The 24823-nt window shown below is 41.9% G+C and overlaps 1 protein-coding gene and 1 long non-coding RNA gene across 11 annotated transcripts in view, besides 4 other annotated features; one reads left to right on the forward strand and one right to left on the reverse strand.

The window, feature by feature from the left end:
* Positions 1 to 6104: 6104 nt before the first annotated feature.
* The window catches only part of SLC28A3 (solute carrier family 28 member 3), a 93271-nt gene continuing 74552 nt past the window's right edge, over positions 6105 to 24823 (reverse strand). For 7 of the 10 annotated variants that reach the window (NR_037638.3, XM_011518907.3, NM_022127.3 and 4 more), the window contains 9 exons: positions 23316 to 23396; positions 20802 to 20927; positions 18696 to 18826; positions 16591 to 16759; positions 15993 to 16190; positions 11449 to 11530; positions 10623 to 10721; positions 9913 to 10033; positions 6105 to 8992 (listed from right to left, as the gene is read on the reverse strand). Coding sequence is in view for 9 of the 10 variants with exons in the window: in XM_011518907.3 (XP_011517209.1) it covers positions 8866 to 8992; positions 9913 to 10033; positions 10623 to 10721; positions 11449 to 11530; positions 15993 to 16190; positions 16591 to 16759; positions 18696 to 18826; positions 20802 to 20927; positions 23316 to 23396 (1134 nt within the window). In the remaining variant the exon portion in view is untranslated. Of the gene's footprint in view, positions 8993 to 9912; positions 10034 to 10622; positions 10722 to 11448; positions 11531 to 15992; positions 16191 to 16590; positions 16760 to 18695; positions 18827 to 20801; positions 21068 to 23315; positions 23397 to 24823 lie in introns of those variants that run through there. The other 3 variants (XM_047423712.1, XM_011518910.3, XM_011518909.3) reach the window with 3 other exon arrangements.
* Positions 7352 to 7903: an enhancer, noted in NCBI's record as "NANOG hESC enhancer chr9:86891619-86892170 (GRCh37/hg19 assembly coordinates)". NCBI's record gives its function as "activates a minimal SCP1, AML or CMV promoter by ChIP-STARR-seq in primed H9 embryonic stem cells {active_cell/tissue: H9 hESC(primed)}" and the evidence as "EXISTENCE:reporter gene assay evidence [ECO:0000049][PMID:30033119]".
* Positions 8036 to 9235: an enhancer, noted in NCBI's record as "P300/CBP strongly-dependent group 1 enhancer chr9:86892303-86893502 (GRCh37/hg19 assembly coordinates)". NCBI's record gives its function as "activates an origin of replication core promoter dependent on BRD2, BRD4, P300/CBP, MED14 and CDK7 cofactors, with strong dependence on P300/CBP, by STARR-seq in HCT116 cells {active_cell/tissue: HCT116}" and the evidence as "EXISTENCE:reporter gene assay evidence [ECO:0000049][PMID:35650434]".
* SLC28A3-AS1 (SLC28A3 regulatory antisense RNA 1) lies at positions 8818 to 20784 on the forward strand. The gene is made up of 2 exons (XR_001746802.1): positions 8818 to 9047; positions 20588 to 20784. It is a non-coding gene; the product is annotated as an SLC28A3 regulatory antisense RNA 1 (long non-coding RNA).
* Positions 24043 to 24102: an enhancer, noted in NCBI's record as "active region_28502". NCBI's record gives its function as "activates an Ori minimal core promoter by ATAC-STARR-seq in GM12878 lymphoblastoid cells {active_cell/tissue: GM12878}" and the evidence as "EXISTENCE:reporter gene assay evidence [ECO:0000049][PMID:35858748]".
* Positions 24493 to 24572: an enhancer, noted in NCBI's record as "active region_28503". NCBI's record gives its function as "activates an Ori minimal core promoter by ATAC-STARR-seq in GM12878 lymphoblastoid cells {active_cell/tissue: GM12878}" and the evidence as "EXISTENCE:reporter gene assay evidence [ECO:0000049][PMID:35858748]".

The raw sequence follows: 24823 nt of genomic DNA on the forward strand, positions 1-24823 counted from the left end.
CTTGTGCAATATACTCGTATAGTCACACCTGTGGGAAGCGACATAGGTAGAGGCTATTCACTGCAGCATGTTTTTTTTTTTTTTTTTGAGACGGAGTCTCGCTCTGTTGCCCAGGCTGGACTGCAGTGGCGCGATCTCGGCTCACTGCAAGCTCCGCCTCCCGGGTTCACTTCTCAGCCTCTCCTGTAGCTGGGCCTACAGGCGCCCGCCATCACGCCCGGCTAATTTTTTGTATTTTTTTAGTAGAGACGGGGTTTCACCGTGTTAGCCAGGATGGTCTCAATCTCCTGACCTCGTGATCCGCCCGCCTCGGCCTCCCAAAGTGCTGGGATTACAGGCGTGAGCCACCGCGCCTGGCCACTGCAGCTTTTTTTTGTTTTGTTTTTGTTTTTTGTAAAATATGGGACACTAAATAAATAGACTATGAAATAAATTATAGTAGAGGCATGTGATATATACAAAAGAATGAAGAAAGTTTTTATGTAGTGATTTGGAAAAAGCCCTAGGATATGTTAAACAAACAAACAAACAAACAAACAAAAAAAAGAGCAAGGAACAGAACCATGTATAGAGTATGCTGCTGTCTGTGAACCATGAGTACAGGGAGTTTACCCTCCTCCCCGCAAAGGAGAATCTATGGTTGCCCCTGTGGGTAAGCTGATGGTGTAGGACACACAGTTCTGGATTCAGCTTTTGCTGGTGAAATTGCTGGCTATCCCCTGATTGGGTAAACAAACCTAATTCCTCAGAGATCTACACAGTGCTCACCCCTCCCCAGCTGTCAGCCTTGTATCCAACTGTACTGGTACCATAATTTTTGATTCTCTGAGGGCTAGGACTTCTCTTTTCTTCCTGGACTCAGGGCAAGGATGGTCGGGCAAACTTGCTTTTGTCTTATTCATACCCAAAGCATCTGTGTTGTCAGTGTAAAAGGCTACTGAAGACATAAACCGTTTATAGTTCCAACACTGCAACTAGAAAATTCATCTTTAATCCAATGAGGATAACCTGGTATGTCATTTGCCAAAGGTTGTTATTAATACAAAGTGGATGCCAGTGGTTAGTGTATGAAATCACACATAAGCCCAGGCTTGCTGACTGGTTTCAACTACCATCTTTTTATTTAAGTGGACAGATATAACTGGGTGTCTTTGTTGTGTACAATGTCAGTGACTTTCTTCCTTGCTAGCAGAATCTGAGCTTTTGAGTACTGGAAATAGTCTGACTTTGTATTGGAAATATGTTATCTATTCCATGATTGATCATTTGGTTTTGTCCAGAGGCCTGGCATAAGATAGGAAACATGCTGTTGGCAGACAAATCTCTATGTGTCTCTGCACTTTTTGTATGTCTCGCGAGAAAAAAAATCATCACTAGTCATGAATTTGTGCAAGTATTTGACTACAATATTTATTGCTCATTTGTTAATAGTCATAAAATATAGGAAATATCCATGATGGCCAACCATAGGGGATAAGTTAAATTATGGTTCCTCATATAATGGAATGCCCTTCAGTGATTTTAAAATGATGATGTAAAAGAATATTTAATGTGGGAAAATGTTCTTGACATACTAAAGGGGAGGGGGAAAAGCTTCCTCAAAATAAATCACAGTAGTGTGATCTCATTTAAAAAGTGTTACACATACATACGCACACACACACACAGACATCGAATGGCGATACATCATGGATTATTAGCACTAGATATATTTTTGTAATGGGACATGGGTAAAGTTCTTATTTTCTTCTTAAAATGATGAATTTTTCTACAACAAATATGATTACGTTTGCAATGAAGCATTTTGCAAAAGCTATTATAAAAAGAGGAAGAGGTAAAATGCCTTCCTGAGTGCCTCTCCTAATCTAGTTAGCGAGACAACACAGGATATTCTGGAGCCACCTCCAGATTCCAAATCTCTGCCTTTGTCCTCTCAGGCCCATACAGATCCCCAGCCAGTTGCTGGGGAGACTATCGGGATCTGTGCGTTTCCTTGCCATTCATTTCTGGTCGCTGTCTGTGCTATACACCTCAGCAGAGGCACAGGTAAAAACCTTTAACCTGATTAAAATTCCCCTCAAGCATATTCCTGGTATTACTGGTAAGAGGAAGGAGAACGCATTTCAGAAATTAATTTCATCCTCATGTCATCAGAAAGGCCAGAAAAGAACAACCCCCTCCCCACCCATTTTAAATGCAATTTTGATTGGATTCTTTCTGAATACTTCAGTGGCTTTTGAGAAACAAAACAAAACAGCGTTCCTGAGCGCCCAGCTGCAGCCTCCTGCGAGCACATCATGTTCCGCACGTCTCGCTGGTTCGAGGACGCCTCGTCTGTTGCTATGGAAACAGAGTAGTCAAATCAGACTGCGACGGAGGACTCTACTGAGTCCCCGAGAACAAATTGTTTCCTTCTGTTTGGTTCCATTTGGTTTAAGTAGCGGGGGAGACCCTCGCTTTCTGGATAAACTATTTTCCCGGGCCGGACACTGATAAATGGATGGTTAAAGACAGCAAATAATCCTCAACTCGAGATGTCCTTGTCAGAACGGGCTGCGGCATTGAGTTTTGATGGGTGAATTCTAATGAGAATTAGGGTCTTTGTTTCGCACAAGTACTTTCAAGAACCGGCCAGCCTTTCCCATAAATGGGATTACATTTATTGTAGCCACTGAATAACAAAATTTTCAGCCGAATTTTCAGCCAACGGACGCTTCTGTAACTCGCAAGCTGCTTGAGGCAAAATCGGTTTCAGAGCGGGCAGAGCTCAACGCTCACGTACGTCAGGCTTTCTTGCACTACTTTCAAACTTCCAAGTGTTTTTCACATTTCTTGTTTCTTATGTTTTCATTCATGTTCCTGTACTATGAACATACGAAGTCAAATGCGAATGTAACTCTTACTTTTATTGGAGACTAAGAAAAGCCAAGTGATTTTTCTCAAAATGCAGCAACCGGCTGTTACGTGGCACAGGGCCCGGCTAATCAAATCCTATTCAACCATCAGTGACCGCACGGTGCTCTGGTTGCCCTGTTATTCCCTTTTGAGACTCAGTCATCACTGGTCTCCCATTTTGTGGCCTGAAGCCAACAATTTTCTAAATCCCTGTGAAGAACAACAGATAAGTAAAGAGGCTCTGAAGATTAGGAGGGAGAGAAAGGGCCACAGGAAACAAACTACCGTGTGGGTAAATCACACCTGCACATCCCAATTCATATTTCCAGAGCGTAACATATTCTGAAATACCTAAAGAATGTGTGGAAAATAGAAGTTCTTCAAAAACAAATATTCTGTAAAAACTAAAAGCAACCTAAATGTCCATCAAGAGTAGAATGGATATAAAAATTGTGGTATACAGTGAACTACTACTCAGCAATAAAGACAGAACAACCTACTGGATAAAACATAAACATTATGTTGGGTGAGGAAAACAAGGAACAAAAGAGCATGCATTGTATAATTCCATCTATATGAAATTCTCTCTAATCTATAGGGGAAAGAAAAGTAATCAGGCTTGCCTGGAGGGATAGGGGTGAGATTGGGGTACTAGGGAACTTTCTAAGAAAGTCAGTGAGCTACATTTGACTGGGGTGATTGTCATGTGAGTGTACACATTTGTCAAGATGCATCGAACTGTTTACATAGAATCTGTGCATTTACATACATAAATTATATCTCAACGAAGAAAAAGAAAGTATTTTATAGCCTTTCTCTGTGGGGTATTCTTTTAAGTGCTTTACATGCGAATGTACTTAATCCTCACAAAAATATGAGGGAGAAGTATGTTTATTTGCATTTTACAGATGGGGAAACTGAGACAGAGTGGTTACATAAATTTCCAAGGTAATGAATCTAGTGACTGGTGGGGCCAAGATTTGAGCCCTGGCAGTCCAGCTCCAGAGCTGGGCTCTTGGCTGCTGGATCACATTTCCATACCTACTAGAAGCAGCAACCAGCTTGTTCTCTGTTTCCTAGAAGAGCTTTTCCAAATATGATAGCAGAACAATTGCTCATATAGAGAGAATCCAGCTACACTTATTTATGCATTTATTTATGTTGGCTTTTGGGATACTTCTAATAATTCCATTTAGCATCAACATAGTCAACACTACTAAACTGTAGGCTTGCATTGCACATGATCAAGAAGGCCAATCTCCTGAACTTTGTTTGCTAATCATTGTACAACACAGTTGATATTATAAGACAAGCAAAATTATTTACCTGATTTTGCTAAGAGGAAGGGGGAAATGTGAAAGTGATTCAGGCATTGGGCTAGAGAGAAGACTCATCCACTCTGATATTATAGCTTATTGTATTGTTTATCATATATAGAGAAAAATTCACATTGACATCAAAATACTAACTGACTGACTATAGGAGAGGAAGATTTTCAATTTCTCAATTTGCAACGTTTAAGACAAGTGTGCATTTTTAATGAGATTCTGTAAGTTAGCCAGTCAACTGTTCTTGCTTGTGTGAAGGTTAGCTATTTTGCAGTCCTCATTCATTCACTCATTCATTGGTTAAACAAATATTTACTGAATGTCTACCGAATGCCAGGTACTAGGTACTGAAGATACATAAGAACTAGTATTCTAGAGGTTAGACATATGGACAAATAATCATGGAATGAGATAGGCACCCTGCAGTTGAAAGGATTTCATTTAGACCAGGGAATACTGCCCCAACTCTGCTCTTGGCCATAGTGATCTGTGGGTTTGCCAGTTCTGCATGACCAGAAGGTGGAAGGAGAGATGAAGCATTTCTGAATGACCTAAGGTTTTCCTATCCTCTTATTTTATGAATATTATTGGAAGCATGGCCAGTACTTGGAAGAGGTAGGCTCTAATTCTTTGTGTTCATATGGCTTGTAAGACTTCAGTTTTTTCCTAATCCTGGTTTCTCATGGCAAAGTGGTTGGTTGTCAGTGGCCAGAGGACTAAATTTCAAGGTTGTCACTTGAGTACTTTTCTCTGTTCTGTGGCTATAGGCTATATCCCTAATACCAGCCACTGTCCTTCCATTTTGCAAAATGCATAATGGTTAAGAAGGGCTGACTTGATGTAGGTTCACTGTTTAATCTCCAAAGTTTCCTGGAATGAAAATGCAAAGTAGCCCACTAATAAACAGGTTTAAAGTACTCATTCTATAACCAAGGAGCAGTCACATTGCCTTTGTGATATAAAGGAAAATATCATTGTCATCACAAGGTTGTGTAGTTTTTAGAGCTAGAAAAAGAAAAGTCTACGCTTTTCTTCCTGCTTGAGCTTAAAACAAAATTAAGTAACAGGCTGTAAAGAGCAGCCTTTCTTTGGACCATATGGTTCATTAGCACCACATGGTGTACCTGTACCAGAGACAGTTATTGAGTCCTACGCTCCTACCTTTGTAAAATGTGAGTGATTGCCTCCCCTTGCCCCACTCCCGTACAGTCAGGGTAACTTAATCCTTCCTGGCACACTGTGTCCTTGTTGGCTTATAATACCTTCTTTATAAGCATACTTGATTTTTGGAATTGTTCTGTAACTGGAAATCAGTCTTATTGGACAAGTGCACATCTTAAGCTGTTCACAGTGCCCTACCAGCCTAATTAAACTACAGAAATATGAAAGCAATCAAGTGGGAGCATTTGCAAAATGAATGCCTGTTAGTAATCTGCATAGTTACAGAGACTGTCACTTAGACCTAACTGCTGGGATATGTTGACTTTACCAATGGGAAGAAAAAAAAATCAGACAATGCTGTGTATCCCATGACTCAAATCTATTTTTGGCTGAGACCCTAAGGCCTCTCCAGGGTCAGAGAATTTGTTTATAACCAGTTTCTGGATTGCGAAGAGAAATATCATTTCTGCCCCTCTCCCTGTTTTTTGCAAACCAATAGAAAACAACACGGAGAATAAGCAGCAGTAAACTTCCATCTTCATTGAAATGAGGAAACACTCATATCTGGAACCATAATACTGTATACCAAAAGGGGCTTTCAGGTTAGCGAAAACTACCAGTGGGAAGACACAGGCGGCTAGGGGCTTTGGATTTCATGGGTGGACTGGACAGAGTACGGAGTTCTCCCAGGGAGATGTTGCAGCCCTGGCTTGAGGCAAGGTTGGGGAGCACAGACCAACAGCAACAATCTGTCAACAGTGAGCGGGCTCAAACAGCTGAAAAACATAGGCATGCCATCTTTGCCCACTATATGTACATGGGTGAAGGAGAAACTGGGGAAGACAAGCAGCCTCCAGCTTCTATGTCTACTAAAGAGGAATAAAAACATCACCATGCACCAAAAACCTCCATTAGGTTGTTTCACTGGGAGAAGGGCCACTTACGACGTTCACAGGGTATTGGTGAGGTTTCTGGGGGTAACAAGCTCAAGAGGCTTAACCAGCTCATTTTCCTGGTCCTTGGCCTTTACTATCCTCTTATAATATAGCTCAGGAATAACACCCCCTTTCTCAGTTCAAGGATGCACAGCATTAATAAGGAATCAACGTAGGACCTATGTGAACATGTTGCATTTATAAAGAAATGTCACACGTACACACAGAAAGGTCATATCAAAGCAGGTAAAAATTAAGACAACATATTTCTCCAAAAACCAGTCTGACATCTTATAATACCAGAAATATACACACACTTCAAACCTGGGAAATCATCCTATGAATCTGCTCTGACCAATATGGTAGCCACTAATACCTGAAATATGGAGTAACCAAGTAACAAATTTTTAAATTTAAAACTGATACTCATTTCAGTTATTGGAAAACTTTTAAGCACATTTAGACCAACATGGGTATGTAAATTTACTTTGCAAATTTAGATTTTATGAAATCTAAACATGGATTAAGTATTATCAGTAAAACTTTAGTGTCTCAACTGAGATATGCAAACCAGACAGACTTAGTTTCATAAGAATGAAAAATATCTTACTGAAATAATATCTCCAATGTATTGAGTTAAATATATTAAAATTAATTTTACTTGTTTTTTAGCGTGGCTACTAGATCTTAAATTACATGTGACTTGCATATGTCTATCAGACACTATTGCTATAGAAAAAAAAGCACCAGCATGCAAAGTAAATGTACATGCACTGTCCAGAGTAGGAAAAAGAGAACCCCCAAACCAAAACCTGTAAACAAAGTAAATGCATGTCCACAGAGGAATGGTATGATACATAAACATAACATTCTGTGGGGTATGATGAACCAGGACACCAAACATTGAGAATGGGGGGAAAACATGCAAATATATTTTCCTAAAATAAAGTCTGAAGACTGCAAGGGCACATTGAGCTCCAAGGAAAATTGATACAAATAATAAGAAATATTTTAGTATATCATACTTCAGGGATAAACAGTCCTCTGGACATTAGGCCTCCTCCTTCACCACCACAAAAAACAAAACACACAAAAAACCCCAACTATTTTCACATAGCTTTTTCTTTTAAATTACTCTTGTACACAAACAGAAGGAAAAATAGAAACAAAATAAATTACTTAAGGTATTTCAAAACCTTTTTCACATTCAGTGTCTGTTTCTTGACTTGGTAATTGATGTTTGTGTTTTCTCACAGCATGTGGTCTTCATGCTATTAAGAGCAGTGGTGATGGGCATTTCGTTAAAGAGCACACCACCATTGTCTCTGGAATCTTTTTCTTAGACACTGACACCCATTCTTCAAGTTTGATACTGATGCCATCCTGGTCAATGAAATTATCAACGCAAGGTTTTCAGAGCTCAACCAGGACTTTTTTTCCTCAACTGCTTCTTACACGGCTTTTGATTGAAGAGTAGCTGCTTTGTCACCAGGAATACATTACCAAATGTGCAGATGAATAGGCCTACCGTTATGGCCTACAACAGGATGGCTCCTTGAAGGGAGACATGGATATTATGTACCCTTATGGTGTATCATATTACTTCTGCAAAATATTCACTATCCCTCCCTATGACAGGATAATTTAACTGTGGTGACTGACATCGTGCCTGTCACAGGACTTGTTTTGGCTAATGGAATGTCATGGAAGTAAAGGGTATCATTTCCTAGCGGAAGATGAAAGAGCCATCATGTGGTTCCCACCTTTCTTTTCCCTCTTAAGACCAACATGCCCCCCTTAGAGGCTGCTCCTTTAGACTGGGTGCTGAAGCAATATGGATTACAACCAAGATGGATCATTACAAACATGTGAGTGAAAAATAAATCTGTAAGCCACTGAGGTTTTTGGGTTGTTTGTTTCTGTAGCGTAATTTATGGTTAAACTGACTGATAGAACTCTTAAGCAGAATGGATTTAAACCCTGGTTTTGGTATGATCCACGTGTTCTCCTCAAGGACTCTTGATTTCTGCAGGACTTCCTGAGGGTAGTCAATGAGTTGGTGATTGATGACTAGTTTTCCCTTATGTGAGATTCAAGTTCAGGCTATTTCAGGTAAGCCAAGGTATATGCAGAGTGACCTCACCTGAGATGTGCTTAAACTGAGTCACCCTGGACTACTTAGTGGACACTAAGTGGGTGTGGGTGAGTCAGAGCCCAGTTGTTGGGAGCGGCCGTTTATAGCTGTATTCTGGTGAAATGCCTTGCAAACATTAAAGTCAGAAAATCCCATTGAGACTGGAATCAACAACACCTCACTTTGGGACATCATAGCAGTTCTTGGTGGGGAAGGGGCTGGTGGGGAGGGAGGGGAGGAGGAAAATGTTGTAGCTTTGAAGGTCCACTCTTGTTTTTCTTCATTCCTTGCAATTAAAGCTGATTCCATTATGGAAGCATCAATCTGTGGACAATAGCTTCTTTTTTTTTTCTTTCCAAAGCAGAAAATTCAGCATCTGTACTTCAGAGTTCCACTGGAGAAGTGGCTGACCTCAAAATGTATTAGAGATCCCATTGCAGTTAAAGGTCGATGGATTCAACAATGTGCAGCAGCCCTTCAAAGAATACAGACTGTGGTTTCCTCCTGGGATGACTTCACCAGGACCCTTGGCAACAGTGCTGGTGGAAAGTGGAAAGAAACAGTTACATGAGCCATAGATGGCAGAAACAGTAGGTGAGCAGACAATGACATTAAAAATAGTTCAGGGCAGGAAGCTGATTTTCTTGCTCACATTCTGGTTAGGGTGGATTAAAGGACAGAGACACTGGGGAATTTGTTTTGGCTCCTAAATTCTGGGTGTCCTCAAGAACTTTCCCTATTTCCTCCATAACAAGCAAAGATAGGATAGAATCAATCCTTATAAAACACTTGCACATTAAGGATGGCACCTTGTGTGGGAACACTGATTTTGCAAATTAAAACTGTACAGGGTGGGGGTGGCTGGCATGGGTCACTGGTAGTTTCTTGTTCACCATAGACGATCATCGTGTTGTCTGGACAGCCTGGATCCCCTTGAAGGGGAGCCAGCAGAGGGTAGCAGTTAAGGGCATAGGCTTAGCAGGAAGATCAGCCTGAATTTTGTATCTCACTTGTACTTGTGCTAATTTTGCTGGAGTAGACATAGCTTCCCTAAGCCTTAATTTTGTGGAATGAAAAAAAAAAAAAAAAGATAGTGCCCAACTTATACAGTAGTTGCAAGGTTTAAGTGAGCTAATTCATACAAAGTGCGTAACACACAGCTGGGTGCATATTAAATGCTTGAGTAGCACTAGCTAGTGTTATAGTTGCTAGCCTTATCTGAGAAAAGTCAGAGTGAAAGGTGGTTAGAATCACTGCATAAGTTCTTACTTTTAAATAGAGTCATAAAGTTATAAAATTAAGTCGATGAGTGAGCGGAGATTGCGCCACTGCACTCCAGCCTGGGAGACAGAGCAAGACTCCGTCTCAAAAAAAAAAAAAAAAAAGTAAGTGGATATTTAGGTGTGATTTGATTGATTATTAATGGAGTATAAAGAAATTATAATCAAGAATACAATACCTGCTCAACAGACTTTGGCAACAAGCTATCACCTTGGTTGTGTTTCCAGGGAAAGTGGAGTTGAAGGCATTCTCTAAAACGTGATGGCAGTTGATGTCCACAGGAGTGCTGGAGAGTATGCCTAGAAGTGGAACAGAGTCCCATTTATTTATTATTTTTTAGTTTTATTTATGTATTTATATATTTATTTATTTAGAGACAGAGTCTTGCGCTTTTGCCCAGGCTAGAGTGTAGTGGCATGATCTCTGCTCACTGCAACCTCTGCCTCCCGGGTTCAAGCGATTCAAGTGCCTCAGCCTCCCAAGTAGCTGGGATTACAGGCACGCACCCAGCTAATTTTTGTATTTTTAGTAGAGATGCGGTTTCGCCACGTTGGTCAGGCTGGTCTCAAACTCCTGACAGCTGGTCTCAAACTCCTGACATCAGGTGACCCGCCCGCCTTGGCCTCCCAGTGTGCTGGGATTACAGGCGTAAGCCACTGCACCCGGCCCCATTTATTTTATTAATTAAGGAAGTCACTGAACCCTCATTCTGTTCTTAGCTCCTCCACCACACTGCACACATTTAACTTTACAGTATGCTTAAGAGCAGCTCTAACTCTCAGCTTTCTGTGGCAGCGTGTGCTGCACATGCAAGCTGGAGGCACTGCCTGTCCTGAAAGCTGCCATTCATCCTGTGGGCACTGGGACACAAAGGACAGGGTGCGGTACCTGCGATGCAGGCTGTCATGAAGCAGGCCACGGTCCCCGCAATCAGAGCTCTCACTGCCCCCGAGGCGATATCACGCTTTCTGGAAGGAGCCATGGATGCTGGGAAACATGGAAGGAGGGATGTGAGATCAATGTTGAAGTACTGATTAAAACTCTTAGCCTCTGAAAATTGTTCTGAGGCTGGGCTCAGGTCAGCTGACTTTTTTTTTTTTTTCTTTAACTTAGCTGGGAAATTCAAGATTCAAGAACTTAGTAATAAACTCCACATACAGAGAAATTCTCTGCTGTGGGAAGAAGGGAAGAGGCTTGTTTGCCAAAAGGCTCAAAGGCTCATTCTCCACAGAAGAAAAACCTCCTAAGTTTCATCCAAAGGGCTATTTATTGAGGTCATGGCAAGGCAAAAGAGTGGCAGGAGGCATAGACTAAGGAGATGATGTGCAACTCAACTGTCACCATCTACTTCTATGCCCGTGGCAGACACCACTAAGAAATCACAGCATTCTTCCACTGGACTTCCAATGGCTCTCAGAATCCTTCTCCAGGTGCCCATCATAAACCTATTGGCATTGGCATGTAAGGTGAAGCCTACAGGTCACCCCTGGGCTGGGAGAAGCATCTGTATGTTTGAGAAAATTTTTCCTGAGGTCAGTTTGGGTGTGCAAGGGAAAACTATATTGCAGACTAGAGATTAAAAAAATAGACCCCAGAGGACTCATGACTGTTGCAAAGGCCTTTGTTTTTTCTGACATAACAGTACAGAGCAAAATGGGGATCCAAGTATGTCTATGGCACATCTGTGTTGTTGAAGAATGTTCTTTTCACTTACTGAGTCCGCCGATCACGATTCCTAGGGACCCGATATTGGCAAAACCACAGAGAGCGTAAGTGGCGATTATCTCAGAACGAATCTGTAAGCAAGCATAAACACATATGTATACACAATCTGAGCTGGCTTAACAAATCTGACATCCAACTGGGCTTCATTTTGACCATAAATTCAATATTGACAAATAAATGCACAGTCCATGGTATCAAATACCCATTACTCCCTAGACCTCTTTTACCATCTCCACTTGAATTTTGTGGGAAGATGGAAGGGGGCTGTGTGGACTCAGTGACTCTCTACAAAGGGCTTATGATTGGTAGCCTTGGCTTCTACAAATGCTGCTTCCTGGTCAATAATACCTTCTAATATTCCATATGACCTGGCCATCTGCTACAGTGTGCCAGGGACAGGACTAGTTGCTGGAGATAAAAAATTGGTCCCAGAAAATATTCACATTACATTTACTTGAAAAAGGACTTATTCAGACTATATAAAAAACTGTTATAACTCAATAAGATGACCAACAGCCAAGGAAAAATGGATGGAGATTTGAATACTTCACAAAAGCTATGCAAATAACAAAAAAGTACATGAAAAGATGTTCAACATCATTGATCACCAGGGAAATGCAAAATAAAGCCACAATGAGATACTACTATGCCTCCACTAAAATTAAAAAATACAAAGTGTTGACAAGGATGTGAAGTGACTAGAAGTTTTATACACTGCTGGTGGGACTGTAAAATGACACAGTCTGTTTGTGAAACAGTATGGAAGTTTCTTCTTAAGTTTACTTGCTCTGCCTGAATGACCCAGCAATTTTTCTAGGAGAAACAAAAACACATGCCACAAAAAGATTGTACATAAATATATATGGCAGCTTTATTAAATAGCCTCATGCTGGAAACAACTTGAATGTCATTCAGTAGGCAAATGGATAAACAATTGTGGATACCCATAAAAATGAAATGCTGCTTTGCAATAAAAAGGAAATACATGCAAAAACATGAATGCTAAGTGAGCACATGTATATGAAATTCTAGGGCTGGGTGCGGTGGCTCACGCCTGTAATCCCAGCACTTTGGGAGGCCGAGGCGGGTAGATCACTTGAGGTGAGGAGTTCAAGACCATCCTGGCCAACATGGTGAAACACTGCCTCTACTAAAAATACAAAAAACAAACAAAAAAAACATTAGCCAGGCATGATGGTGTGTGCCTGTAATCCCAGCTACTCGGGAGGCTGAGGCAGGAGAATCACTTGAACCCGGGAGGCAGAGGTTGCAGTGAGCTGAGATCGCACCGTTGCCCTACAGCCTGGGCGACAGAGTGAGACTCCATTTCAAAAATAATAATAAAAATAAAAGAAATTCTAGAATATGCAAACATAATTTACAGTGAAAGACTGGCTATTGGTTGCCTGGGACTAGGTCTTCGGATGGGGATGGGAGTGGGGTTGTTGACTACAAATGGCCATGAGGAAAACCTTTTTTTTTTTTAAAGGTGTGACAGAGATGATAGTCTATATGTCGATTATAGTTGTGGTTACACAGGTGACATCAAAACTGAGCCCTTAAGTTGGTATATAAATTATAATTCAGTGAAAAGGATATAATTTAAAAATAATTATGTTAGTAAAAATGAAATTCTCAGCTATCACAGGAGCTTCCTTATAGTCTGGCCATGGTGTGTGTACCACAACTCTGACCACTCCGTGGGAAAGTTAGGATGCCCAGTTGGAGGTAGGAGAAGGAACATCCCTTTCACGGGGCAGTCAGAGGATGGAAGATGAATTCGTGAAAGCAAGGGCGTGGCCCTGTGACTCAAGAGATGCTGCTTAGGCCAGACAATTTTTCCTCAGTTTGAGGACTGACTATAGGAAGCTCAGAAGATTCCGTGTACTCTGTTGTTCACCAGAGGCACACCCAGTCTGACAAAGGTACCCACGTGACTGAAGCAATACTTTTCCAATATTCTCAAAACCCTATGATTTTGTTCAAAGAACAAACCGAGCAATGCTACACTCATTCAAGACTCAAGTGGCCATGGTAAGATTTTTGTTGATTCCAAGGCCCCTCTTCTCTCTCATGGTTTCTGAGAACTCTCCTTTGTTGATATTTTCCATCAGCGCGCATATAGCTGACAGGAAAAAAATATTTCAAGTAGGTATGCAGTCTACCCTTCCTGGAAAAGCTGTCCTTGTTCCCCACTTTTATTCTAGTGCTTTTCATTTAGTTCAGTTCAGCTGGCTTCAAAACCAGGCATGCTTATTAAGAGATTGTGGGGAGAAAGATGACATAAGGAGCTTCAAACTCCTCTTTCCCCTTTCCAGGGATAACTGAGAAGGGGATACACAGATGTGGCCATGATGGGTTTTAGAAGAGAAAAAGGAGTCTGGGATAATTCCAGGTTGACTTTGCCCACAAATGTGCAAGATGATGTGATGAAAAGAGATGCACCGTACTAGAAAAATATTAATAACACACCTCACAGCTCTCCTTGTGTCTGCACAGGCAAAGATGCCATACGTACAGGATGGTCATTTTAACACTATCTATCTCTGATAGTGAAAAAACAGATAACTGCTTATCAGCATGGGACTGGTTAAGATGAATTACGGTGTGCTATACAATAGAATACTATGTCACAGGCACTGATGTGGAAAGGTACCTGAGACACATTATTAAGTGCAAAGGACAAGGTTAAAAACAGTGAGTATACGTTCCAGGGAGAAGAGGTCCAGAGAAATAAGAAGGATGCCTTACTTTTTCCTTTATCTTTTTTTGGACCTTTTGAATTCTATACTATGGTATGTGTTACATGTAAACAAATGAATAAAAACAGGCAAAGTATTATCTTTAGGAAAGAGAAAGTGATGCAATAAGGGGCTCATACTAGGGGCATGGGGGCTGCATAGTACTCTCCCTCTTATCTCAGATGGAGGTTGGCATGGGCATAATTCAGTGGATATCACTGGGGTTTTGCCTCACGGACCCACATGGTACGTTCTGTTCTGTGGCACCTTTTCCAGGAGACTGTTGGGATGCCCTTCTCCACTTCTAGGTTGTGAGCAAAAATTGCTGGGACTCATCTGCATTTTGTTGATTGCAAATTAGAAATTTGGAGAAACAAAATGCCTTTCCCATCATGATTCAACAATAGCAGAGGCCACTGAGCTCCTGTTACCAAATGTTCTCTCTGTGCCTGCCTTTGGTTGGGCTCACCCCTAAACTCAATCAGCTCTACTGTTCTGTCTCTACCCTCGTAATAACCTTTCCACAAAATTGCTTCGTGCTGCCAGAACGCAGAGCCCGGTTTGCTCATTAACAAAACGATTCTCTCCTGGCAACTGGCAATTGGGGATAGAAAACATTTCACTTAATTTAGCCTATTGTTTACTTTTGGCAGGGAAACAAACTGGTTTTGGTGGCATCTAAACAATGAGGATAATTGGCCAAGCTTTACTGGGAGGTTAGTTGAAGAATGAACATGCGAGAACAGGGAAATCTACAGAGTCCCTGCTCATGTCAGATGTGTTGGGTCAAAATGCCCCAGCTGTAAAATATAAATCAGTGCTCCCCAGGAGTGGGCTGTTATATTGATGTGCTATGTGGGAGTAAATCTGCAGGCTTGTTCTTTGGGAAGCTGGGAAGGATGGTAGTGTTGTTTGTGGGTGAGCAGACTCAGAACCTTAGGCAGGCTGCTTTTCCTCCCCTTTCATTTTTAAACCAAATACATGCCTGGAACATTAATTCCAAATGGATTGTTTCAATGAGTACTAGGGGTGCTCAGGAATGTTCATCATTTCCTTAAGAGTTTCCAGTGTGACAATTCTGTTCTCCAGGGAAGAAAGTTGCAAACTCAACTACAAACATGACCTCACCTGAGTTCCTCATCCCACCAAAGGCCAGGCAGATGTGAATGCCTCCTTGCAAGCTATTGACCTGAAGTCCTGACATAATTATGGGTGCTTGTCTCAAGGCTTTCAGATCACAGACTCTGAGCCTTTTCTCTCCCTCATCCACGTGGAGAGCAGTGATGATGCTACACTAACTCTCGAGGATGTCCAGGCATGTTACTTTTGGACAGTTTCTCAGAGCTCACAGAATCCATTAAGTTCAAAGGGAGAGTGCTTTAAGATCACTAGACTGTTAGCCACTAGACTATGAGGCCAGGGGCCCCATGACTTGCTATGGCCTCAGTACTCAGCGCATTGCACATAAAAGGCATTCAAAAAATTTTGGTTGATTGATTGCAGTCCCAGCTCATGTGACTCTGGGTCTGTGTCCACAGTCCTCAAAAGTAGATGATTATAGTGGCAATGATTAGCTGTGTCTACACACACACGCACACTCTAATTCAACATAACTGAAAGTTAGGAAGTGCTATGTACATTATAAGCTCCATGAGCAATGGATTTTAGGTTGTTTTGCTCTCTAATCTATCCCAGGTGCCTGGCATAGTGCTTGACACACAGAGGCATAAGTAATAGACGAATGCAGGTATGTGATGAAGAAATGTACTGAGAAATTAAAATATTTACTCACTGATATATATTGCTGCACACCGTTTACAAATTTGGGTCCACCTTCTTTCCTCAAGTGGATCCATTTTGAGAGGTGCTCATAAGCCACAAATTCATTGAAGAAGGTCTTATAACCTATGAGTCTGGCAACCATAAAGCTGTCCTGCCATTCCACTCCCATCATGAAGGAAAAGGGCATGAAGATGTAGGAGCAGATTAGCTACAGAAACCAAAAGTAGACACTTGATTAGAATAGTGATTTGCTTTCAGTTTTGCCTCCTCAGTGACAACACTGTTCCTGACCCCTCTGTCTCCTTTAGGCAAAGAAATTCCTTCTTCCCTTGCCCATCTTTACCCATCAGGAATCAGGGCTAGAAATCGGTCATTTGAAGGAAGCTGGATTCTTGGGGAAGGGGCCAGGAGAGACTGACTGTCGTTGTGGGGAAGGAGGGGGATAGGAGACAGAGAAAAGGTGGGTGGGAAGTTGGGGGATGCATGAGAAGCTTCTACGGTGTGGAAGAGTCTACTGAGGTTAGGGTGGGCTGTTTACAAACCTATTTTATTTTTAAACAAAGATAGGCAGAAACAAAACAGAGGGCAGGGGCGTGATGTGATTATACCTCAAAACTCAGCTGTGGGTAGTCAAACATGTTTCCAAACCAGGACAGGGCTGAATTCATAAAAGACAGCAGGGCCAGGAAGGCAATCAGATTCACAGCGATGTTGGCCACCAGGGAGATGGAGGAGGATGCTCCCTGTGTTGCAGCTTCTAGAAGATTCCCTGAATCACTTTATCAAGAAATAGCAATTCCAGAATTACCAAGGAGTTGTCAGGGGATGGACACCATTGGTGCAGAAGTAGCATAATCAGAGCTTAGATAAGAGACAAACTCTAAGGCCCCTGCCTTGCTCAAAATACTCACCTGAATCCCATGACATCATGAAGTGGGCATATGAGTATTTAACCATGTTTGTTCTTGTTTTTAAAGAGATAGGGTCTTGTTCTGTGTCTCAGGCTGGAGTAAAGTGGTGTGATCATAGCTTATTGGAGCCTCCAACTCCTGGGCCCAAGTGATCCTCCTTCCTCAGCCTCCTGAATAGCATGTGTGCCACCATGCTTGGCTTTTTTTTTTTTTTTTTTTTTTTAAGAGACGGGGTCATGCTACATGGCACAGGCTGGTCTTGAACTTCTGGGCTTAAGCGATCCTCTTATCTTAGCCTCCAGAGTCTCTGGGTAACTTACATTACTTTTTAAATTTGGGGACATTTATAATAAAAAATTGGAAAATGATAAAAAATTACAAGTTTAAAAATTATTTTTATTACAAGTAGCTGCCAGAGAATAGTTATAAAATACAAATGGTATAAAAGCTAATGATTCAAAACCAACAACAAACCAATGATCCAAGGAAGCCTGTAAATCCATCACCTCATTTAAAAATGGAGTGCCACCATCACTTTGAATCCCCCTGTGTACTCTTCTTTGATCTCATCCTCCCCTCTAATCTCAGAGGTATCTGTCTTCCTGAAATTCACTCATCATCCCCTTTCTATACAGTTTTCCTACATGTCTGTATTCCCTAAAAAATACATTGTGTGTCCGGGTGCAGTGGCTCACACCCTATAATCCCAGCACTTTGGGAAGCCGAGGCAGGTAGATTGCTTGAGCCCAGGAGTTTGAGACCAGTCTGGACAACATGGTGAAATACTGTCGCTACAAAAAGTACAAAAATTAGCTGGGTGTGGTGCTGCGTGCCTGTAGTCCTAGCTACTCAAGGGGCTGAGGTGGGAGGATCACTTGAGCTCAGCCTGGGTGACAGAGTGAGACCCTGTCAAAACAAACAAACAAACAAACAAAAAAACAACATTGTGCAAGTCTGCACACTGAGTAACTTTACAAGTGGAATTACGCTGTATTCTTTGGTAACTTGCTTTTTCGCTCATGGTTGACTTTATCTACATACAAGTATGGGTGAATTTCAGACACATGTTGGTTGCTGATGAATTCTGTTATTTAATGAAATACTCTTGAACACCCTAAATCCCTTAGTCTTTTCCACTCTGTTTTTTTTTCTTTTTCACAGAGCAAAAGAAAAGGAACCAGCTTTCTTATAGGAGGAACCTCCAGAAATGGTCATCCTATGGCTTTCTGTCTAAACCAAGGCTCCATAAACACTCTGCTATATTTATAAAGAAATATCTTTACAACAAACAGATATGGAAATGTATTGACATTAGGTATTTAGAGAGGTTTATGTCAAGTATTAAACAAGATTTTGGCCAGGTCCCAGCACTTTGGGAGGCTGAGGCAGGAGGAGCCCTTGAGCCCAGGAGCTGGAGATCAGCCTGGGCAACATAGTGAGACCCTGTTTCTAAAAAAAATTAGCTGAGAGTGGTGGTGCATGCCTGTAGTATCAGCTACTTAAGAGGCTGAGGTGGGAGGATAACTTGAGCCTGGGATGTTGAGGCTGCAGTGAGCTGTGTTCATACCACTGCACTCCAGCTTGAGTGACAGAGCAACTTTAAAAAAGTCTTTTTTGAGCAAGACTCAAAAAAAGGAAATAAAATAAGACTTTTTTCTGTGAAGTCTAAATAGTCTTTGGACTAACTTTAATATTGTAATTCACTGTGCTTTCCGGTTATCAAATTTTTGCTGTACATTGACTCCTGGAGTCCCCCGCCCCGGCTTGGGTAGTCATTAATTAGGTGAATGTGTCACACTTACCCACTTTCCATTTTCATGGCATTCTTGAGGGTTATTTTAGGTTTTTCTGTCTCAGGCCAAAAGAGTTTAGCAGCAGCCAATGACGCAGGTGCTGACATAACTGACGCTGTTAACAAGTGGGAGGATGGAACCTGCAATTTCAGAAGAAAGAAGGCAAACCTGGGATTAGCTTTTTTCTTGTGTTCAGAGGAAGGGTCCAAGAGCTCCGCAAGGGAAGAAACAGGGCAGGGGTTGTTTCTATTCCAGAAGACAATGTTTCTTTGGAGGTCTGGAAGAGCCACTCTAGCTCATTGAGCCAAGTCGCGGGCATCACCTTGAGAGGCTGAGGGATAAGGGAGACATTTGTGCTAATTGACCACATCCCTGGGGAGAAGCATAAAACCAAAATCTGATCGTTTCAGAAAAGAATTAATCCTGTGTTGTGGAAACTTTCAAGGAAGATTCCTCTACCTCTCTGTTGCCCTTTTGAATGTTCAGAGAGCCCCTAAAGCATGTATGTCATTACAACTTTTTTTTTTTTGAGATGGAGTCTTGCTCCGTCACCCAGGAGTGCAGTGGTGCGATCTTGGCTCCCTGCAACCTCCGCCTCCCTGGTCAAGCGATTCTCCTGCTTCAGCTTCTTGAGTAGCTGGGATTACAGGAGCCCACCACCACACCTAGCTAATTTTTGTATCTTTTAGTAGAGATGGGGTTTCAACCATGTTGGCCAGGCTGGTCTTGAACTCCCAACCTCAGGTGATCTGCCTGCCTTGGTCCCTCAAAGTGCTGGGATTACAGGCATGAGCCACCATGCCCAGCCTCATTACATCATTTTAGATAGGGGATGGGGAGGGGATGGGGAGTGGAGAAGGGACTCATGATTCATGTGCAGATGTGTATATTCTCCTCTCTCCATCTTCCTTTTGCTCTCCTGAGGTCCTTGGTGCCTTTACACAATCTTCATTGATCTGGTGGCCCTTTAATCTGTACACGACTTCTGTTTTCTTTATTGCAGGTCCACTCGTTCCCCTTCCTACCTGCCCTCACATGGTTTCTGGATTCTCTTCCACATATTTTCAGAATTCCAGGATCAACACCTCCCTCCCTGTTCCTGTTCCCCCCAGAACATTTTTGAGGCAGCATTTCTACAGTGGGGATGGCATTCCCCAGATGATCCACTCAAGCTGCTCCACAGGTGTCCTTTGCTCCTTTCTTCTTGCCTCTTCCTACTAATTGGCACTCCGAGGCCTGGATGAAGACCTACAATGAAGCCCACTTATTTTGTAAGAAATCCTAGTCTCCTGAGTCACACAGTGACTGGGCTGTGTTACTCAGTTTCAATATTGGGGACTGTGTCTATGTGTGGCTTGTAAGCTCTATGGGTCGGGGTGCACGCACCAGTTATAACATTCTCTAGCCTTATACTACAGACTGCCAACTCTCAAACTTGGCTGTACATTAGAATCTGAGAGTTTTAAAAAATATTGATGGCTGGGTCTCATCCCAAGGAACTGTAGTTTAATTACTCTGAGATATGGACCTGGGCATTAGAGAATTTAAAAGCTCCCAGGTGATTCTAACGTGCAGAAAGGTTTGAGAATCACTGCTCTAGACCAGGGGTCAGAAAAGTTTTTCTGTAAAGGGCCAGAGAATAAATATTGTTGTCTTTGTGGATCACAACGACTCAACTCTGTAGCATGAAAGCTGCCAGAGACAAATGAATAGAAGTAGTTGCTTTCCAATAATTCATTTCCAAAAACAGGAGCAATTGGGATTTGGCCCATGGGCCATAGTTTACTGACTCCCAGTCCAGATCACCTTGACTGATGTAATAATTTTTTTTTTAACAGATTTAAATTTTCAACCAAAGCAACTTTATCATATGATTGCATTTTTCTGTTTTTATTCTGCAGATAGAACTCACATTTAGGCAGCAGGTATATGAAGCCCTGAAACTCCTTGGGATCCCTATGTTCAAATGCCAAAGCAACTGTGACCAACTTTTGCCATATGGCAAAAAAAGACACTCTCTTGGCCTCCTTTTTCCACCAGCAATGGAAAAGAAAAGAAATAACAATAATAAAGAAAGAAGAGGTTGGTGTTTTCATAATTCCAAAACATTCTTACCCCAAAAGAAATGTATGCACCTAGCACGCTTCCAGCAATGGTAGAGAACCCGGCGGTCATGATGGCGTGGAGTTCAGACTTGGTGATGTAAGGTAAATATGGTCGGACCAGCAGTGGAGACTCCGTCTGGAGACAAAGAAGGGTGACCAGATTCCTTTTTAAATCTGTGTGGGGGCAGGGGAAGGCATGCCAATCTACTCACAATTTTATTCTTTAAAGCAGACAGTTTCTAAGAGTGAACCTCAGACCAGCTCCATCAGCGTCACCTGGAAACTCGTTAGAAATGCAAATTATTTCGATTTACTAAATTAGAAACTCCAAGGGTGGGGGCTACCAATCTGTATTTTCACAAGCTTTCCGGGTGATTCCAATGCATGCTCAAATTTGAGAACCCACACCATCGACGTCTGGGTTATTTGAACTCTAGATCAGTTTCCATATGTGGTCATGTATAAATTTTGTAAAATTCGTGAGGCTAGACATAGAAGGCCTCCACCCAGCCTAGGACTGGACTCTGTGATGTCTTGGTGCACTTTTCTAAGGGCCAACTGACTCTATGCAGTGGCCTAACCTTCTGGATGGGTGATTTCTAAGCCACTGTGGCTTCCTGTCTTCCAACTTCACCTTGACAGACCCTAAACCTGTTTCCTGACCTCAGAGAAATAGACACAAGCATTAAAAACAAACAAACAAACAAACAAACAAACAACCTCAGCAATAACAAGAACAGGTGCCCGCAGGCCCTTCTGTAATTGAGAATCAGAGACCCCTCTCTGATGGGTGGAAAGGAAGAAGCAGACAGAGTGTAGTTGTAAAGGCTTGAATCCCATTAAGGAGGACAGGCAGCCTGCGGCATGGGGCTCTCCATAGATAATAGCTGTACTTTTAGCATATTAAGTATCAAATTGAACATCACAGAAGCTTGTGTGCAATTTTACAATTTTCTCCTTATTATCTCTAATTGTTCTGTAAGATTGAATGTGTGGAGCCTCGATTTACCGACTAAATAGGAACCCTGTGCGGGAGCCCTCTTACCCCACAGGTAGGAGCAATCAACTCAAGATGGTGCCCTAATTAGTCCTGAGAGATTTTATGACTGTAATTATAATAATTTCAACTCCTAGGGAAGGAAGCATGGGATGGGCCCCCACTCTAAAGACTATGCTCCAGGCTAGTAAGCATAGGTTTTTTTTCTTTTTTGAGACAGAGTTTTGCTCTTGTTGCCCAGGCTGGAGTGCAATGGCATGATCTCGGCTCACTGCAACCTCCACCTCCTGGGTTCAAGCAATTCTCCTGCCTCAGCCTCCTGAGTAGCTGGGATTCCAGGCATACGCCACCATGCCCAGCTAATTTTGTGTTTTTAGTAGAGACGGGGTTTCTCCGTGTTGGTCAGGCTGGTCTCAAACTCCCGACCTCAGGTGATCTGCCCGCCTTGGCCTCCCAAGGTGTTGGGATTACAGGCGTGAGCCACTGCGCCCAGCCGTAAGCATAGTCTTTAGAGTAGAGGCCCGTGCTTCTTGTTGGCTTACCAACAAGAAGTTTCAGCCTGCCAGGAGCAGTTGTAAGCCTGGGATTTGGGGCTATGTGTTTTTCTGAGTGACTTGATTTTTGCTTCAAATTCAGTTTCCTTGGGCAGTGGTGCTGGCAAGCGTTCATACCTGGTTTTCGTGGCGTGTGACTCCATTCTGCCTGAAGCTGCATATCTGGAGTGATGAGGGGCTTATTACAATTTCTTACTGATCCACCCCTTAGCCATGCTGCTATTTTGAGGGACACTCCTTGGCATGATATTTATTTGCTTAAATGGGCTTCAGGCAAAAGAGCGTTTCTCCATGTGATGGAACAGGGAGGTGAAAATTGAAGTCTAAAAGCTTATTTTTGATGAGAAGAGAAAAACCTAAAAGCATTTTTCTTCAGGCTCAGCAAAGACAGAATATTGGCCAGTTCAGACAAGTTGAGAATAAGCTCAAGTATTTACGCAGTTGCATGGTTGTTGGTGGAAAGGCTTTCTTGGTCTCCTCCATTGCCACAGGCATTATAGTTTAGAATGGGAGGCTGTTTGTAGCTTGGAGATTTCGAGATAGTGAAATCCATTCAAGTGGAAGAGCTACCAGCCTCTGAAGAGTTGACCAGAAACCTCACAATCACTAAATTCAGATTTATTGAGAATCTATATGAGAAGCTCTATGTCTATGCCTTAATAAAATGACAACCTTCCATCCTCTTCATAAACATTCTCAAGAACCCAATTCTACATACCATACCCAGACTGTTAAAAGGAATTTCTCTCTGTGTCTCTCTGTCTCTCTGTCTCTCTCTCTGTCTCTCTCTCTCTCTCTCTCTGTCTCTCTCTCTTCTCCCCCTGGAATCCGGACATTGCCAATACTGGGGGTTTCTTATTTTGACACCATTTTCTCTACACTAAAAGAACATTGTGTTATTTTCTTATTTGGCTTTTTGGAAAGAGACGATCCATTTCAACAGATGTTTTGTTCTGTTGATATTACAACTTACTTGTCCAACAAATATATTGCCAGAAGCAACTACAGATTCAATAGGAGATGATCCCGTAGTAACTAGCATGATCCATCCAACCTAAAAGGAAGAAAGGGACAAAGTCAGCAAAGAACTTTTTGTATACCCAAAACTTCAAAGTAGGGATTAAAATCCTTAAACTGGTGTAAAATATTGAGGGCTTCAACATTTGTCAGCAAGCTAATGATGGAGCTAAAGGTAAGTTTAACTTATTGAGCCCCTAGAGCAGGCCAAGCAAATCCTCTTATTGGAGTAGTAAGTCTGAGTCATTGCGTATACTTTGAACATTATACAAATCAATTTCTATAGGTCTATTGTATACAAGTAATAAATGACAATTGCTAACATGCTTATGGAAGGCTTTACTGCATTCCAGGCACTGTGTTAAGCCCTTGACAGTCCAGAAAATGCAATTAATTCTTACAATAACTCTTTGAGAGAGGTCCTATGTAATTATACTCATTTTATTAAAGAGGAAACCAAAGCACAGAACAGTTTAGTTGTTTTGTCAAAGGTCACCCATATGTAGCAGGATGTATTTGAGGTTTGGTCTTTTTTACTTAATTGAAATGAACGTGGTTTTTGGTTCCACTTTTGTACTGGCCTTTCAACTAGAGATGGTGGATGAGGACTTCCTGTTGCATTCTCTCTCCTTGCTTTTTAGTTTAGACAAGAGCATAACAATTCTGAATGTTTTGGGGTTTAAACAGGAAATTATGGGCCCTGGAGTTCTTGCTGTCATTCTGAACTCTGCTACTACCTGTATTCTGGTTCCCTCTCTCTCTTCTCTTCCTTTTTGTACATTTTGATTTATTTATTGGGATCAAGGAGGGCTGGGGCTGTGCCCCAAGCACTGCCTGCACTGCTCTGTGCTCGTGTGTGGTGCATCCAAATTAGCTGACGGAGCTCCTTGTCCTCTGATCTAACACATGAACATAGGACTCATTGAGGCTAGGGCAGCAGGAAGGACATGAACTCTTCAGCTGTGTGTGTGTATGTGTGTGTGTATGCATGCACGCTCATGCTTATGAAACTCCCTCAGGAGTGAAAAGCTGTTTCTCCTTTTTGCTTCAATTTCTCTAGCACCTCCAAAACCAGAAGTGTCTACTTTTGTAACCTCCTTAAGCAAGGTAGCATACAATTAAGGAGTAGCTTAAAAAAGAAAAAAAGATAAGCACAGGGCGGTTAACCAAGATGAAGGAATAACATCATTTCCCCCAGCAGTATCTGACCTCAATTCCTCCGCTAAAGAAGTAACTGCTATAGTTTCATGAAGATATCCAGTGCTTTGCAAATCAAAACCCTATTAGAAGCTCCTGAGATAAAATTCCCTCCATGGACACATTTAGGATTGGAGGTTTTGAATCTAATCACTTAGGTGGTGATGGTGGATAATGGTAGGAAGAGAAAGGCACTTCGTAAATACCTGCATAAAAGGCCTTGAGGACTTCGTGCCTGAGATAATCAGCTCTACACCTATAACCCAG

The sequence above is a fragment of the Homo sapiens genome, chromosome 9 (genome assembly GCF_000001405.40).
Source record: "Homo sapiens chromosome 9, GRCh38.p14 Primary Assembly".
NCBI classification, from domain to species: Eukaryota; Metazoa; Chordata; class Mammalia; order Primates; family Hominidae; genus Homo; species Homo sapiens.